Below are 16851 nucleotides of genomic sequence, written 5' to 3'. Positions count from 1 at the left end.
CTCAACCTCAGCACTATTGACATTTTGGACTGAAAGACTGTTGTAGGAAGATGCTCTGTACTGTAGGATGTTTAGCAGCATCGCTGGCTTCTTCGCACTAGAGGGCAGCACACTCCCTGCTCCTCGCATTGCCAAATATTCCCTGGGAGGCAAAATCTCTTCCGTTTGAGAACCACTGGGTTAAATGTATGCGTGTAGCATGATGGTTACGGATATAAGCATAGGTACTGCATGAAATTTATTGGAAGTGTCTTTAAAGCCAGCCAGAATGCAGTCATGATTGACAGAGCTCCAGCAGCCATTTTGTGCCATGAGACCTTGAGAGTAGAAACTGAACCCAGCAGAGCAACCCCACAGCAGCAATCTGGGTTCCTAACTCCGTGATGTACCACTTCAGGCCTGGCCCCACTGTCTCTGTACTTCAAAGATAAACTGCTAGATTGTTTGAGTCACTGCTATTGTGAGTCTTTCTGTTATTCACAAATGAACCAAATCATTTCTAGTATGTTTCAACAGTAATGGGATAAAGATGTAGTTTTTAAAAATCATCATTAAAAATATATTATCCCACTACACTCATATAAAGGGAAATCTAATGTTCTGGAGCTGGATTCTAGGAGTAGGGTGGATGGAGGAGGCTGAAATTTCTCCTAATCACTTCTTGCTTTTTTTCCCTGTACTCTTGCCTAATTCCCTATCACTGCTCGTCTTCATGCCTGTAATAGTTGTCCGATTTTTCTTACAACTTTGGAGTCGTGCACTAGGCAATGTATGTGGTTATATTTATTGGAGGTTTGCAGTGATGGAGGCTTGTTATCACCCAGAACAGTGCCGAAATTTTCTTTTAATTTAAAATTCAACATTACAACATTACAATTCTAAACATGTATCATCTTCTTCCCACAACAAGAAATTCTGGCCTGCTGACCTGTAGTGAGCATCCCGGACTTTTGCCTGCCTGACATTCATTATACCTTCTCCTGGTAAGACCACTCAGATTTTCCTTTGGGGAGCCACACCTTCTTCACTCTCCATGTGAATTCCAATGGGGCTGGCTCCACCTCCCCTTTCCACATGACCAGATCTGGCCAATCAGTCTTTTCCATTGCTTTGTCTACAGTAGTGTGTTCAGAAACAGTTATGTGACCCAAGGCAGACCAATGAAAATTGATCCTGGATTTTTGCTAGAACTGTTGGGGGAAAATAGTGTAGCAGGCAAAATAACAATCCACAAAGACGTTCCTATTCTCATCTCTGGAGACTGTGAATATATTAGGCCACATGGCAAAGGGGAATTCAGGTTGCAGATAGAATTAAAGTTGTGAGGCCGGGTGCGGTGGTGGCTCACGCCTATAATCCCAGCACTCTGGGATGCCGAGGTGGGTAGATCACTTGAGGTCAGGAGTTCAAGACCACCCTGGCCAACATGGCGAAACCCCGTCTGTACTAAAAATACAAAAATTAGCTAGGCATGGTGGCACACGTCTGTCATCTCAGCTACTCGGGAGGCTGGGGCAGGAGAATTGCTTGAATCTGGGAGGCGGAGTTTGCAGTGAACAGAGATCAGGCCACTGCACTCCAGCCTGGGTGGCAGAGTAAGTTAAGACTTCATCTCAAAAAAATAAAGTTGCTAGCCAGCAGATTTTGGAAAGATTATCCTGGATTAGCCGGGTGGGCCTAATGTAATCACAAGGATCCTTAAAAGTAGAAGGAGGCAGGAGAGAGAGCTGGGGAGATGGCAGCCTGAGAAGGCGATATGGTTTGGATGTGTGTTCCCTCCAAATCTCATGTTGAAATATGACCCCTAATGTTGCAGGAGGGGCCTAATGGGAAGTATTTGGGTCATGGGGGCAGATCTCTCATGAATGGCTTGGTGCCTTCTGCATGTTCATGAGTGAGTTCTTGCTCTATTAGTCCATGTGAGATCTGGTTGTTCAAAGAGCCCACTGGCACCTCCTCCCTTCTCTCTTGCTCCCTCTCTCACCATGTGGCACGTCTGCTCCCCTTTCACCTTCTGCCATGATTGCAAGCTTCCTGAGGCCTCACCAGAAGCAGATGTGGTGTTGTGCTTCCTCTACAGCCTGCAGAACCATGAGCCAAAATAAACCTCTTTTCTCTATAAACCACCCAGCCTCAGGTATTCTTTATAGCAACACAGAGTGTCCTTACACAGAAGGAATTGACCGGATGTTGCTGGCCTTGAAGACAGAGAAAGGGGGCTATCAGACAAGGAATGTGGGCAGCTTTTAGACATTAGAAAAGCAGGTAAACAGATTCTATCCCTAAAGCCCCCAGAAAGGAACACAGCCCTGCTGACACTCCAATTTCACCCCAGTGAGACCCATTTCAGACTTCTGATCTCTAGAACTGTAAGATAATAAATGTCATTTAAGGCTGGGCATGGTGGCTCATGCCTGTAATCCCAACACTTTGGGAGGACAAGGTGGGCAGATTGCTTGAGTCCAGGAGTTTGAGACCTGGCCAACAGGGCGAAACCCAATCTCTACTAAAAATACAACAAATCAGCAGGGCGTGGTGGCTCACACATGTAGTCCTATAGTCCCAGCTACTCGGGAGGTTTCAGCAGAAGGATTGCTTGGGCTTGTAGGGGGGAGTTGAAGCTGCAGTGAGCCCTGATCATGCCACTGCACTCCAGCCTGGATGACAGAGTGAGACCCTGTCTCAAAAAAAAAAAAATGTCACTTAAGCTACTAAGTGTGTGGCAATTCGTTGCAGCAGCAATGAGAAACCAGTGCAGAAGGGTCTGTTCTTTCTGCTGGGGTTGCTGGGCTGGTTGATGTGGAGCTCATCATGAGAAAGGGAGCACTCCTGGAGATAAAGCCATTGAAGATGAAAGCAATGTTGAGAGGCAGCCAGATACATCCTGTGAGCCCCTGGGTCCAGCTGCACCTAAAATAAATTTCTTTTTGTGGTTAAGCTTGTTTCTGTCATTTGCAGCCACCATGGCGATGAATAATGCAAAATGTATCCCCATTGGGCAGTCACTGGCAGTGCTATGCTCAGTCCCCTGGATGCCTTGCCCTTCACTGCACATGGCTGACAGTCAAGCCGGCATCTGCATTTGGGCTCTCTCTGCCCCTGCTCTGCTGCTTTGTGGCAGGCCAGGAGCACAGAGAAAGTAACATCTCTTGGGAACAACCCTCAGTCAACGACTGCTGTCTAAGTACCCAGGTCCCTTGCCCCTTGGGTCTGAGGCCTGAGTCATCTACACTGGCTTCTGTTCCCCAGTGGGATTCAGCTCTAGTTGCCCAGAGTGGAAATGGGCTCACCTTTCACTGACTGCCTTCCTGTCCTTACCTCACTCCTCTCCTGGTGTTTCTTGATATTACAGTTGTCTGGGAATTGGAGACCAGCCTGGGCAACATAGTAAGACACCCATCTTTATAAAAAAATACAAAAATTAGCTAGGTGTGGTGGCTCATGCCTGAAGTCTTAGCTACTCAGGAGGCTGAGGCCAGAGAATCGCTTGAGACCAGGAGGTTGGAGGCTGCAGTGAGCTGAGATCATGCCACTGCACTCCAGCCTGGGTGACAGAGTGAGACCCTGTTTCTTAAAAAAGAAAGAAAGAAAAAAAGCAGAGACCAAGTAGAAGGGGGAGTTTCACGGGAGATAAGTTTGGAAGTGGATGCAGGGATCTTATGCAGGGCCTCCTGGGCTGAATTAAGGATTGGATCTTTATCCTAAGTGCAGTGGGGAGCCACTGAAAGGCTTTAAATTGAGTTTCCTGCCACAGAAGCCAGAACCAGTCTGACCATAGCAAGCCTGGGTCTTGTAAATATGTTTTCATGCAGATTTCTAAGGCAGAGGCTCAGATGAATTTGGTAACCATAGAGACAACTACGTGGACACTAACAATTATGATAATGAAGCCACAAACTTGGGAAACTGGGAGTTATAAATAGAATTGGTTCTGGGTAGGCTTTGAGTAGTCTGGGCTGATGAAAGGTGCTAGAAACCACATTATGCCAACATAAAGGATCTTATGTTTGAAAAAGCGACCTGCCTCGTGTGTGAATGAAACCTAAGGACTGCAGAGCCCAAGGCATTGGTGTCATAGCAACCCTCAGACCAAAGGGCTTTTCTTTGGTATTTCAAACAGGGCCCCAGTGACTAGTGGGTGGAAGGAAGGAAAATGAACAAATGAAGAGTGTCTGCTATCCACCAGGCACCCTTATGTTGAACATCTTGTTTAATTTTTATAAGCACTTGCCAAAGTAGAACTAATTATCCCCATTCTGAAGATGATTAAACTGAAATACAGAAAAATGATGTTGGTGGGCGTCACAGTGTGCCAGCCATTTGTGGCTGCCTTTCCAATAGCTATGCCCAGCTCGCTTGCTCGTTGCTTATAGAACACATCTCCATCTTCAAAGGCTGAAGATGCCAGATCCTCACTTTTCCAGCTTCCTCTGTAGCTAAGCCAAAGGCACATGGGCCAACTATGACCGATGCCCTTTATGGGAAGTGTGATGGGGAGAGAAGAGGCTTCAGCAAAGGATTTTCTCCCAAATAAAGAAAACTATACAGGAGGTACTGCCCCTCTTCTTGAACCAAATGTTTTTGTGTCTTCAGATAATGTGTGGAACTTTGATAGCCATCTTGAGATCATAAGGTGACAAGGATAAGGACCAAAACAACATGCTGAGGCTGGTGGAAAAGAATGAAAGGACCCCATGTCCTTGGTATCTAATGACAGCTGGGACCTTCCATCTCTTGAAATTATTTATTTATTTATTGAGATGGAGTTTTGCTCTTGTTGTGCAGGCTGGAGTGCAATGGTGTGATCGTGGCTCACTGCAACCTCTGCCTCCTGGGTTCAAGTGATTCTCCTGCCTCAGCCTCCTGAGTAGCTGGGACTACAGGCGCATGCCACTATGCTCAGCAAATTTTTTGCATTTTTAGTAGAGACAGGGTTTAGCTATGTTGGCCAGGCTGGTCTCCAACTCCTTACCTCAGGTGATCCACTTGCCTCAGCCTCCCAAAGTGCTGGGATTACAGGCGTGAGCCACTGCACCCAGCCACACCTCTTGAAATTTTGGGAGATAATAAATGAACTTATTGTTTATGCCAATTAAGCTAATTAGTTGACTGATGTTACTTGCAGTTTAAAATATCAAAACCATTGCAGTCTATTAATTGTCCCCCAATATCATTCCTCCCCTCCTTCCTTTTAGTAATAATCACCCAGGGTTTTAGCTGAATTCGTGTCCGCCCTGCTAAAGAATACATTTCCCAGCTTCCTTTGCATCTTCCATGTGACTAAGTTCTGGCCAATAGGATGAGAGTGGAAGTGACATGTGCAACTTTGGGCCAAGTTCTTAGCTGGTTGATCTCTTTTTCCTGGTTGTCATCACCCTTTTTGCTGAGTGGAGAGGGCAACAAGTGGAGTAGACTCAGAGGAGGAAGCAATAAGTTGAGAATAACAGATCTGGATGTTTCATAAGCAAGAAATAAATCTCTCTCATATTTAAGCCAGTATTTGTAGGTTACTTTGTTATAGCAGTTTATTTTGTTTCCTAGCTAATTAATACAGTTACAACACACCTCCACTCAGTGGTGGTACAAGTCAGGGTTCTTGTTGCAAGCCACACAAGGATGGGGCAAAGGAGAGGCTTCTGTAGTGGGAGGTGGTTTCTGTGTTCCCCGAGACACCACACAATGGGAAGCCCCTTCCCCCACAAGGAGCAGTGGTTGGATACTGGGGGTCCAGTTTTAATTGTCATCATACTAAACACTCCATAATAATAATAGCTTCCATTTCGAAGTGCATATCATGTGCCCAGCACGGTTCTATGTGTTTTACCTTGTTACACATTTAATCATCACAAAAACCCTACAAGATGAATATTATCTACAATCTTCTTTTACAGATGAGGAAACTAAAGCACAGAGAGGTTAAATAACTCACTCTTACTCAAACATGTCAAGCACACTTCCTCTCTGGGGCCTCTCCTGTCTGGAAAGATCTTCCCCCAGGAATCCATTCACAGGGTTCAAATGTCACCTTTTCGTTGACACCTTCTCAACCACTTTATTTAAAATTAGGCCCGGCATGGTAGCTCAGATGTGTAATCCCAGAAGTTTGGGAGGGAGGCCGAGGCAACAGGATCACTTGAGGCCAGGAGTTCGTAACCAGCCTGCACTACATAGGGAGACCCCATCTCTACAAAAAATGGTAACAATTGGCTGGGGGTGGTGGCACATGCTTGTGGTCCCAGCTACTCAGAAGGCTAAGGTAGGAGGATTGATTGCTTGAGCCCCAGCAGGTTGCATCACTGCACTGCAGCCTGGGCAACAAAGCAAGACCCTGTCTCAATAAAAATAAAAATAAAAAATAAAATAAAATAAAATTGCATCACTCCCTCCCACCCCCACTCTACTACACATAGGGTAACCATATATTGTATCATCCAAACTAGAATGCTTTTGAGAGTAAAAAGGGGACACTAGCCTGGGCGCAGTGGCTCACGCCTGTAATCCCAGCACTTTGGGAGGCCGAGGCAGGTGGATCACTTGAGGTCAGGAGTTTGAGACCAGCCTATCCAACACGGTGAAACCCCATCTCTACTAAAAATACAAAAAAATTAGTTGGGCATGGTGGCATACACCTATAGTCCCAGCTACTCAGGAGGCTGAGGCCTGAGAATCACTTGAACCTGGGAGGTTGAGGTTGCAGTGAGCCAAGATCATGCCACTGCACTCCAGCCTGGGCAACAGAGTGAGACTCCTTCTCAAAAAAAAGGCGGGGGCACTAATAATAGTTATGCCAGGGCAACAGGCAAAAACTGGGGCTGTCCCTGGCAAGCCCAGATGCACGTCATCCTTCCCATCCCCCTTCCTGCTGGATTTATCTCCTGCTAGCCCCTGTCAATGACACATTTTCCTTATTTGTTTATTGCTGGTTTCCACCCACTAGAATGTAAACTCCATGAGGGCAGTAATAATTATTCTCTATTTTGTTTACAGCTCTGTCCCCAGGGCCTAGCACAGTACCTGGCCTATAGTAGTCACTCAATAAATATTTATTAAATTAATTGGTGAATAAATCACTGAATGGGCATCTGGTGCTGGTGGGTGGGAAGTGAAGAAGAGGCCATAGGTTCTCTTTCAGGCTCAGAAAGGGCTAAAAAGTAGACCCCTCCCTCCCCTTTACTGCTTGGCTGTTCTACCCAGAGCTCAGCTGCATATTTTGCAGCCAGAGGTCAAGGCCCCAAAGGGCCATGCTTGGTGTAGTCACCCCAGGCTCACAGCACCTCTCCTCCAGCAAGAGAAATCCTTTGGGACCAGGCCACTGTCCTTGTTCTTTCAGCTCCCAGCCTGTCCCCAGTGCCAACCTGCCAGCAGCCATGTGGAGCTGCTGGTCCTTGTCCAACCCAATCCTACCCTGTGTCTGTTCTCACTGCCTGGAACCTGAGCACCCTCCCTCTCCACCCCCTGACTGAGCGTTCCAGCACCTGAGAATCTCAATGAAGATGAAGATATGGGAAAATGAGACATGAATTTGACTGAAGCATAAATAGGCACAAAACTTTGGGAGGGTAGTTTGGCTGAGGAGTCGAGTTTCAAAGTGCTTGTCACCTACAACCCAGCAATATCACCTGTAGAAAGATGTCCTCAGAAACATTCATGTGTGCAAAGATGGCTGGATAAGCCTGCTCACTGCAGCACTGTTTATAAGAGACAACAAAACAAAAAAAAATGAAACAAAACTGGAGAAGTAACATTGTTAAAATGTCCTACAGATTCCATGTAATTCTTATCAATATTCCAATGACATTTTTGTAGAAATAAAAAATTCTAAAATTTATATAGAATCATAATAGACTCCATATAGTCAAAGCAATCTTGAGCAAAAAGAACAAAGCTGGAGGCATCATATTGCCTGACTTCAAAATATACTACAAAGTTATTGTAATCAAAACAGCATGTCACTGGCATAAAAACAGGCACATAGACCAATGGAACAGAATAGAGAGCCCAGAAATAAATCCACGCACTATAGTCAATTGAGTTTCATCAAACATGCCAAGAACGCGTAATGGAGAAAGGACAGTCTTTTCTATAAATGGTGTTGGGACAACTGGATATTCATGTGAAAGAATTTAGACTCTTATCTTACATCATATGCAAAAATCAACTCAAAATGGATTAGACTTAAATGTAAGAGCCAAAACTATAAAACTCTTATAAGAAAACAGGGACAAAATGTCATGGCATTGGCCTGAGCAACGATTTTTTGTGTAGGACTCTCAAAACACAGGCAGCAAAAGTGAAAATAGACAAATGGAATTGCATCAAACTAAAACGTTTCTGCACAGTCAAGAAAAAAGAAAAAAAAAGAGTGAAAAGACAAACTACAGAATGGGAGAAAATTTTTGCAAACCATACATCTGATGAGGGGTTAATATCCAAATATATAAGGAATACAATCCAATAGTAAGAAAGGACAAAACCTGAATTAAAAGTAGGCAAAAGATCCAAAGAAATCTTTCTCAAAAGAAGACATAAAAATGGACAACGGGTATATTAAAAAAAAATGCTCAACATCACTAATCATCAGCGAAATGCAAATTAAACCCACAATGAGATATCACCTCTGACCTGTTAGAATCGCTATTTTAAAACATAAGAAAGATAATAAGTGTTGGCAAGGATGTGGAGAAAAGGGAACCGTTGCACCCTGTTGATAGGAATGTAAATTAGTACAGACATTATGGACAACAGTATGGAGGTTCTTCAAAAAAAATAAAAATAGAACTACCTTATGATCCAGCAACCCTACTACTGGGTACATATCCAAAGGAAACAAAATCAGTATATTGAAGAGATGTCTGCAGTCCCATGTTAATTGCAGCATCATTCACAATTCTCAATCTGAGTGTCCATCACTAAATGAATGGATAAAAATATGGTACATTTATATACACAATGGGATACTATTCAGCCTTTAAAAAGAATGGAATGCTGTCATTTACAGCAACATGGATGGAACAGGAGGATATTGTGTTAAATGAAATAAGCTAGGCACAGAAAGACAAATATCCCATGATCTCACTTATATGAGGAAGGTAAGAAAAGTTGAACTCATGCAAGCAGAGTAGAATGGTGGTTACCAGGCGGTGGGGTAGGGGGAGGGAGATAGGGAGGATTTTGAGAAGTTGGTCAAAGGATACAAAATTTCAGTTAGATAGGAGGAAACATTCATGAAATCTATTGCACGACATGGTGACTATAGATAATAACAATGGGTTGTATTCTTGAAAAATGCTAAGATAATAGATTTTAAGTGTCCTCACCCCCGAAATGATCAGTATGTTAGGTAACGTTAACTAGCTGGATTTAGCCATTCCACAATGTATACATATTTCAAAACATGTTACTTACGATAAACACGTACAATTTTTACTTTTCCTTATGTACGTCTTCATCTGGCTGTTCATTTTTATCTTTTATACTATCTTTTATAATAAACTGGCAATAGTAAGTAAAGTGTTTTCCTGAGAAACAACAAACTGGAAACAACTGTTTAGCAACAAGAAACTGCCTGACCAGGTAGAAGGACGTGGTAGCTCTGTATGTATTGATATGGAATATAGTCTGAGATAAATTGTTTAGGAAAATGAAAAGCAAGTTGCCAAAGAACCCACAGTATGATGTCATTTATGTTGGAAAAAACGCCACAACGATGTGTGAGTGTGCACACTGAATGAAAGAAAATTCTGGAAAGAAACTAACGGCCAGCAGTGTCACAAGGGGGATAGGTAGTTTATTTATTTATGTGTGCGTGTGCAAAGTTCCGTATTGTAAGAATTTGCTACAGCCTGTGTTATTATAAGCTTTGTAATGAAACAGGTAGAAACTGAAAAAGTTTAATTATTCCCAATTCAGTTTAGGTTCTGTCTCCGGAAGACTTTCCCGGATTCCCCAGCCCCCACTCCCCACCCCATCTTACCACCCCCTCTGCCAGCTCTGAGTCTCAATTTTCTTTTCTGTAAGGATTTTCATCATTTAACCTTATTTCTTCTGAATGCACTAAATGGTAGTTATCCTAGCACTTAAGAGGATGTCGGAAACATGGTTCATTGTCTGACCCTTCCGACTCTGACTTGTATGAGCACATTTTGGGGGGAATGTAGGAGTCAGGGGAAGAGGAGTTCCAAAAAGAGACTACTAGAGGGTACAGCTGTCCCGGAAGAGACTTCTGAAGAGAGCAAAGCGCGTCCGACGTTTTTCTCGAGAGGCGCCGAAGTTTTCCGGAAAGAGACGACCAACTGAGAGGTGGGCCCCCAAAGCCGGCTGCGAGAGTCACCGAAGATTTCCGGAGAGCCAAGGAGTCGGGAAGAGCCACTTACTGAGCGTTGCCGAACGTGTACGGAGATAGCCGAAGAGGCGGAAGGCGGGGCCACAAGAGCCCTTCCTGCAGGGAACCTCAGGCTTCAGAGAGCCGAAAAGTTGGGAGGCGTAACCACTTACAGGCCGGAAGTGTCCGGGGTGGACGCATTCGGGTAGCCGAAGAAGTCCCAGGATTGCCGAAGAAGTCCCAGGATTTCCGAAGCGAGCCGAAGCATCGCGACAGTTTTCAGAGACAGCTGATCGGTTGGAGCTGTTGCGCCGAGCAGTCATGGCGGCGGCCAGAGCTACTACGCCGGCCGATGGCGAGGAGCCCGCCCCGGAGGCTGAGGCTCTGGCCGCAGCCCGGGAGCGGAGCAGCCGCTTCTTGAGCGGCCTGGAGCTGGTGAAGCAGGGTGCCGAGGCGCGCGTGTTCCGTGGCCGCTTCCAGGGCCGCGCGGCGGTGATCAAGCACCGCTTCCCCAAGGGCTACCGGCACCCGGCGCTGGAGGCGCGGCTTGGCAGACGGCGGACGGTGCAGGAGGCCCGGGCGCTCCTCCGCTGTCGCCGCGCTGGTAAGGTGGGCCGGGATCCCGGCGTGGGCGGCCCCGAGGCTCTGGGGCCTGGGCGGGTGAGGGACTCCCCTGCGCTCCGAAGCTGGATTTCCCTCAGTTTCTCCTTCTGTGCCTTCTGCGGTGTCCGGCCTTTCGGAAATGTTATTCTTTCATCCCTTTTTTCATTCGTTAAGTCTTAAGAAACCACGTGGCCATGCAGCGTCAAGCTTTTGTCCTGAGGCCGTTCTGCCTGGTTCAAATCTGGGATCTGTCATTATTGCTCAATGTTGAACATGTTTAACTTCCCTGAGCCTTGGTTTCCCCATTTGACTCGTTTCAATTTTCGATCATTATCTTTCCATTTATTAGTTTTAAGAAACATGTAATGACAAGTACTTGCCCCACTGGAGCCAGGCTCCCTGGGTTGAAATACTAACTCTGCTGCTTGTGTAGCCTTTCAACAAGTTATTTAGCCTCTCAGCCTCGGTTTTCTCACCTGTAAAATGGGAGACATAGTAGCAGTATCCATGTCATAGGGATGTTGTGACCATTAGAGGAGGTATGTGTGTCACGTATTATGTTCAAATGTGTGCCTGGCACATAGTGCCCAATAAATGTTGGATTTCATTAAATTGCCTATTTTTTCATTAAACATCATTGTGCGCCAGCACCATAAACTTTGTCCTCAGATGAGAAAGTGACACTCAGAGAGAAGTAACTTGCCCAAGGTTACACGGTTACTAAGTGGCCGGTCCAGGCCCTCAGCTCCTTATGCCTCTGACTCAGAAGCCCTGGCTTTTTACTTTTACGCTTCTTGCCTTTCTTTTATCAGTATTTTTTAGGTACCAGTGGGTACCAGGACATTGTTAAGTGCTGGGAGATCTGGGTGGGGGATATTCAGTAGCCAACAAGCGGACACATTGCTGCCCTTTCAGAGACTTAAGATTTCATGAAGTTATTTGTGTATTCATATTTCTGTTTTCAGCCTCATGATCTGTTTCGTTAAGCAGAGATTGTATTATAGCTGGCTTGTTTATTGCTGTATCCCCATTGATAACATCTCTCAGTTTCTAGAAAAGTATACTGAGCCTGGTTGACTTTCAGTAAAGATTCATTGAGTTTATTGGAGCTATTGTTCCTTGTATAGTAGCAGAAACTGAGGCTTAGAGAAGTTAATGTAATTTTAAGATTAGATTAGACAACTAATAAGAAAAGCAGCTGGGATTTGAACCCTGTCCTCTCTGACTACGAAGATGAACCTCGAAGCTAGCACACTGCTTGGCCTCCTGTTTGTGTCCTCATCAGTAGAAACTGCTCTGACTGGGCTGTGCCTTGCTCTTTGTTTTTGTTTTTTGAGACAGTGTCTCACTTTGTCACCCAGGCTGGAGTGGTGCAGTGGCACAATCTCAGCTCACTGCAACTTACGCTCCCTGAGTTCAAGCTATTCTCCTGCCTCAGCCTCCCGAGTAGCTGGGACTACAGGCGTGAGCCACCACACCTGGCTAATTTTTGTATTTTTAGTAGAGATGGGGGTCTCGAACTTCTGACCTCAAGTGATCCGCCTGCCTCCGCCTCCCAAAGTGCTGGGATTACAGGCATGAGCCACCACACCCGGCCTTTGTTTTGTTTGTTTTTTAGAGAGTGAGTGTGACAAATGAAGTCCAGTGAGAAAGGGTGGTTTGGAAGGGAGGAGGAAGCTATGGCCTCCTCAGTTTAGCTGTGGGGTGTTCCCAGGCATAGTCCTGCAGTGGGCATGAGCAGGGGAATATTCCAGATGAGTTCAGTTGTACCATTTCCTGTAGCATTCCTCAATAGTCCTGAAATAAGTAGATATAGATGGAAAAACTGGCTTAATCTTTGAAAATTAAGTTTACCCGTTAAAAAAAATCCAACCCAATAACCACTTATGTCTTGATTTCAGGAATATCTGCCCCAGTTGTCTTTTTTGTGGACTATGCTTCCAACTGCTTATATATGGAAGAAATTGAAGGCTCAGTGACTGTTCGAGATTATATTCAGTCCACTATGGAGACTGAAAAAACTCCCCAGGGTCTCTCCAACTTAGCCAAGACAATTGGGCAGGTTTTGGCTCGAATGCACGATGAAGACCTCATTCATGGTGATCTCACCACCTCCAACATGCTCCTGAAACCCCCCCTGGAACAGCTGAACATTGTGCTCATAGACTTTGGGCTGAGTTTCATTTCAGCACTTCCAGAGGATAAGGGAGTAGACCTCTATGTCCTGGAGAAGGCCTTCCTCAGTACCCATCCCAACACTGAAACTGTGTTTGAAGCCTTTCTGAAGAGCTACTCCACCTCCTCCAAAAAGGCCAGGCCAGTGCTAAAAAAATTAGATGAAGTGCGCCTGAGAGGAAGAAAGAGGTCCATGGTTGGGTAGAAGAATGTGTATGACAACCACACACAGTGAAGCTCTTTTTTCAAAGTAAATTTGAAGAAATGCTACAAGTATGAGATGAGATCTAAGTAAAGGTGTTAAGATATTTTTAAGTGGTATGTGATCGTGTCATTATCATCTGCACTTCACTCAAGAGCTTACTATGTGTCTAAGTCATGTTCTAGGCAGAATTGGGTATTTAAAGTAAATTGAGGACAGGCTTCTCCCAGATTGTGACATGTATATCTCAGATACATGGGTGTGGCATTGAACCACATAATGAGAACATTATTCTCTTTTTAGTCCTTGTGAGACAAGGATGAAGTCTCAGTTGCTGATACTCGCTGAGCTTACTGGCCCTCTAACCCAGTGTTTTTTTTTGTTGTTGTTGTGTACATGTTATATTTATTTTGAAACCAGTTTAATGGGATACAACCAGCATTTTAAAAAATGAAATAGAATACAGCATGGAAAATATCAGTGTATTGTTTTATGAAACTTTCACGTGTATATATAGACCAAGGATATGTGCTGAGTTTTGATGTCAAATATATTTCTCTTTCAGGGTCATGATCAAAAAATGAAAAGTCTGCTTAACTCCAATTTCTCTTTTAAAAAAGCAGACTTACAGCTTTCAGGCAACTGAAATTCATGTTAACATGTTTTTATTTTTATTGCTTTGTATTTTTGTGGTTACCTTCTAAGACAAGTGATTGATCTAAAGTTCCTTTTAAGTTTATACCGCTAAACAAACTGAGTTGATTTCTATCACAGGCAGTAAGTAGGTAGAGCAAAAATGGTGAAGTGACTTGTGAAGACTGAAGTTTGATGAAGTCTGGTTTAAGGCACAGGTAAACTGAGTGTGGATGCAAAAGTACCAGGAGCTAGCTTTTAACCTTGCCCAGCCTCAGTTTCTTTTCTTAGAAGAAGCTATGTTTGGGTGGGAAGGGAAGAGAGGGATAAGAAAATACCTTTCTTCCTTGTAAACTCCAATCAACAAACATATTTTGAGTGCCTTTTGTGTTCCTTGGCACCCTGTTGGGTATTGGGTACTTGGCACCCTGTTGGGTATTGGGTACAATGGTGAGCCAGACAGACACAGCGCCTGTCCTTTTGTAAGAATATTTATTTTTATAAAAAAGTATAAAGTATACAGTGGGATGTTTTGATATACATTATGAAATGATTGCTACAGCTGAGCTAATTAACACCCATCACCTCACATAGTTACTGTCTTGTTTCTTAATATGGACATTTGCAGCTATGAATTTCCCTCTGCACACTGTTGTCATCACACACTCTCAGTTTTGGTATTTTGTGTTTTTGTTTTCATTCATCTCAAAGTATTTTCTAATTTCCCTTGTGATTTCTTCTTTGACCCCTTGATTGTTTAGAAATCTGTTAATTTCCACACATTTGTAAATGTTCCAATTTTTCTTTTGTTATTGCCAGCTTCATTCCATTGTGTTCAGAGATGATACAGTCAGTGCCTGTTCTTATGAAGCAAACATTCTATAATAGTAGGACCAGTACCCTGTCTGTTTCATTCACCACAGTCAGCATGCCCCAAGTGCCCAGCATGGGGCGGATGGCCAGGAATGAGTGAAAACTTCCCTTCCTGGGTAGTTGTGACTAGTAGAGAGGAAAAATAATATAATTGCCTGCTTACTGCATGCCAGGCATTGGGCTGGGAATTTTTATATTGGATCTAAAATAACTCTTAAGTTAGGCATTATCCCCATTTTATAGATGGAGAAACTGGCCCCAAAAGGTGGGAACTTGTCCAAGACGTCACAGGTAGCAAGAGGTACTTTTACCTGGCTCCAAATCTGTGTTCTTTCCACTGACAAATGAGATATGGGATATGGTGCATCTTTACAGTACTATAATAAGTATTGGCGTATAACATTATTTTCAAGGAACTCCAAGGGCCACAGGAGCTGACAGGTTTTTCAATTAATATTCCCAACATGAATGAGATGCCTCATTCCTCAGTTTCCTCACGTGTACTATAAGGCTAGTACCTGCTTTGTTGGGGTATGGTTGGCTCGTGTGCATTAAGTCAACAAATCCCTAGTTGATAGGGTTTGGCTGTGTCCCCATCCAAATCTCATCTTGAATTGTTCCCGTAATCCCCACGTGACATGGGAGGGACCCAGTGGGAGGTAATTTAATCCTCGGGGCGGCTACCTCCGTGCTGTTCTCGTGATAGCGAGTGAGTTCTCACGAGATCTGATGGTTTTATAAGGGGCTTTTCCCTCTTGTTCGGCACTTCCTGCTGCCACGTGGAGAAGGGTGTGTTTGTTTCCCCATCTGCCATGATTATAAGTTTTCTGAGGCATCCCCAGCCATGCTGAACTGTGAGTTATTAAACTTTTCCTTTATAAATTACCCGGTCTCGGGTATGTCTTTATCAGCAGTGTGAGAACGGACTAATACACTAGTACTCACTATGCGCCGGGCACTGGAGATCTAATAGAGGGGAACATGAAGCTTACTTTCCTGGGGAACATAAGACAGTTTCAGACAGTGATGAGTGAAGATGTGAAGGAAAACCAGAAACACAGGAGATGAAGAGAGTATATCCCAGGCAGGCTGTGGCGTGCGAAGTTGGCGAAGAAGAAACATCCCCGACAGCAAGGCTGGTGTGGCCGGCATTAGTGAGCAAGGGGGAGGAGCAGAACATGAGATGGGAGAGGCGGGGCCGGATCCTGCAGGGCCCTGTTACAAGGTTGGGTTTTGTTCTTAATGGGACTCAGGGTTTTTAACAGGGTGATACCTGATTGTTTTGAAAGGGTTGCATTGGTTGCTGGCAGAAAACCATAGAGGGCAAGAGTGGAAGCAAGAAACCTGGAAGTGAAAAGGCGACCGAAACCAGCTGGTCCAGTAAAAACAGTAGCCAGGGTGGAAGCTGTGGCGAGCATGCTCCAACTGCTTGGCACAGGACCTGGCAGCCACTGAGGCAGGGAACGCGGTGGAGAAGCAGGCTTGTCTGGGGGTAACACCCGAGGCTCGTTGTCTCATGGTCACGGAGATCAAGGACAGGGACCCACAAAGAGTGAGGTGAAGAGCAGAAATTTAATAGTTGAAAGAAAGAGAATAGCGCTCTGCTACAAGAGGGGTCCTGGAAAAATGGGTTGCTGGATCTGCAGTGAAATGCAAGGGAGTTTTATAGATGAGCTGGTGAGGAGGTGCTGTCTGATCTACATAGGGTGTGAAAAACTGGTTGGACCCAGGTGTGCCATTGGCACAGGGTATGAATCTCGGCACCCCCACCCCAGTCTTTTATTATGCAGGCGAGTTCTCTGCCTGAGCTGTGCCATGTTGCCCATTTCTTTATTACTGTACACGTGGTAAAAGAAAAGGGAAGATGGAGCCTCGTGTTAGACATGCCTGGCCCCCAGTTAGCCCTTCTCTATTGGCACAGCTACCAGCATTCCCCCGTGCAAGCTTCCAGCTTCCTTATCTATGTTTGCAGCTGGATTTTTCAGGCTGCTCTTTGTTAGAAAAGAAATGATTTCTGGGGCTGCTTTTTTGTTAGAAGGGAAAT

General features: G+C 44.7%; 2 protein-coding genes and 1 long non-coding RNA gene across 4 annotated transcripts in view, besides 4 other annotated features; 2 read left to right on the top strand and 1 right to left on the bottom strand.

Annotated features, from left to right (window-relative positions):
- Positions 3816–3935: an enhancer, noted in NCBI's record as "active region_17979". NCBI's record gives its function as "activates an Ori minimal core promoter by ATAC-STARR-seq in GM12878 lymphoblastoid cells {active_cell/tissue: GM12878}" and the evidence as "EXISTENCE:reporter gene assay evidence [ECO:0000049][PMID:35858748]".
- On the bottom strand, positions 9768–10758 carry TP53RK-DT (TP53RK divergent transcript). The gene has a single exon (NR_186399.1). It is a non-coding gene; the product is annotated as a TP53RK divergent transcript (long non-coding RNA).
- Positions 10165–10754: an enhancer, noted in NCBI's record as "active region_17978". NCBI's record gives its function as "activates an Ori minimal core promoter by ATAC-STARR-seq in GM12878 lymphoblastoid cells {active_cell/tissue: GM12878}" and the evidence as "EXISTENCE:reporter gene assay evidence [ECO:0000049][PMID:35858748]".
- Positions 10613–15692, top strand: TP53RK (TP53 regulating kinase). The gene is made up of 2 exons (NM_033550.4): positions 10613–10925; positions 12826–15692. Exons 1-2 carry the CDS (start codon positions 10643–10645, stop codon positions 13302–13304), a joined length of 762 nt encoding a protein of 253 aa, NP_291028.3. The 5' UTR covers positions 10613–10642; the 3' UTR covers positions 13305–15692.
- Positions 10985–11034: a silencer, noted in NCBI's record as "silent region_12976". NCBI's record gives its function as "represses an Ori minimal core promoter by ATAC-STARR-seq in GM12878 lymphoblastoid cells {active_cell/tissue: GM12878}" and the evidence as "EXISTENCE:reporter gene assay evidence [ECO:0000049][PMID:35858748]".
- Positions 15572–16851, top strand: part of SLC13A3 (solute carrier family 13 member 3) — a 126658-nt gene continuing 125378 nt past the window's right edge. For both annotated transcript variants that reach the window (NM_001193340.2, NM_001011554.3), the window contains exon 1: positions 15572–15661. The gene's annotated coding sequence lies outside the window, so the exon portion shown is untranslated. The remainder of the gene's footprint in view (positions 15662–16851) is intronic.
- Positions 16246–16757: an enhancer, noted in NCBI's record as "H3K27ac-H3K4me1 hESC enhancer chr20:45311939-45312450 (GRCh37/hg19 assembly coordinates)". NCBI's record gives its function as "activates a minimal SCP1, AML or CMV promoter by ChIP-STARR-seq in primed H9 embryonic stem cells {active_cell/tissue: H9 hESC(primed)}" and the evidence as "EXISTENCE:reporter gene assay evidence [ECO:0000049][PMID:30033119]".

The sequence above is a fragment of the Homo sapiens genome, chromosome 20 (assembly GCF_000001405.40).
Source record: "Homo sapiens chromosome 20, GRCh38.p14 Primary Assembly".
NCBI lineage: Eukaryota > Metazoa > Chordata > Mammalia > Primates > Hominidae > Homo > Homo sapiens.
Note: the sequence above shows the minus strand (reverse complement) of the source record. Positions and strands in the feature narration are given on the sequence as shown.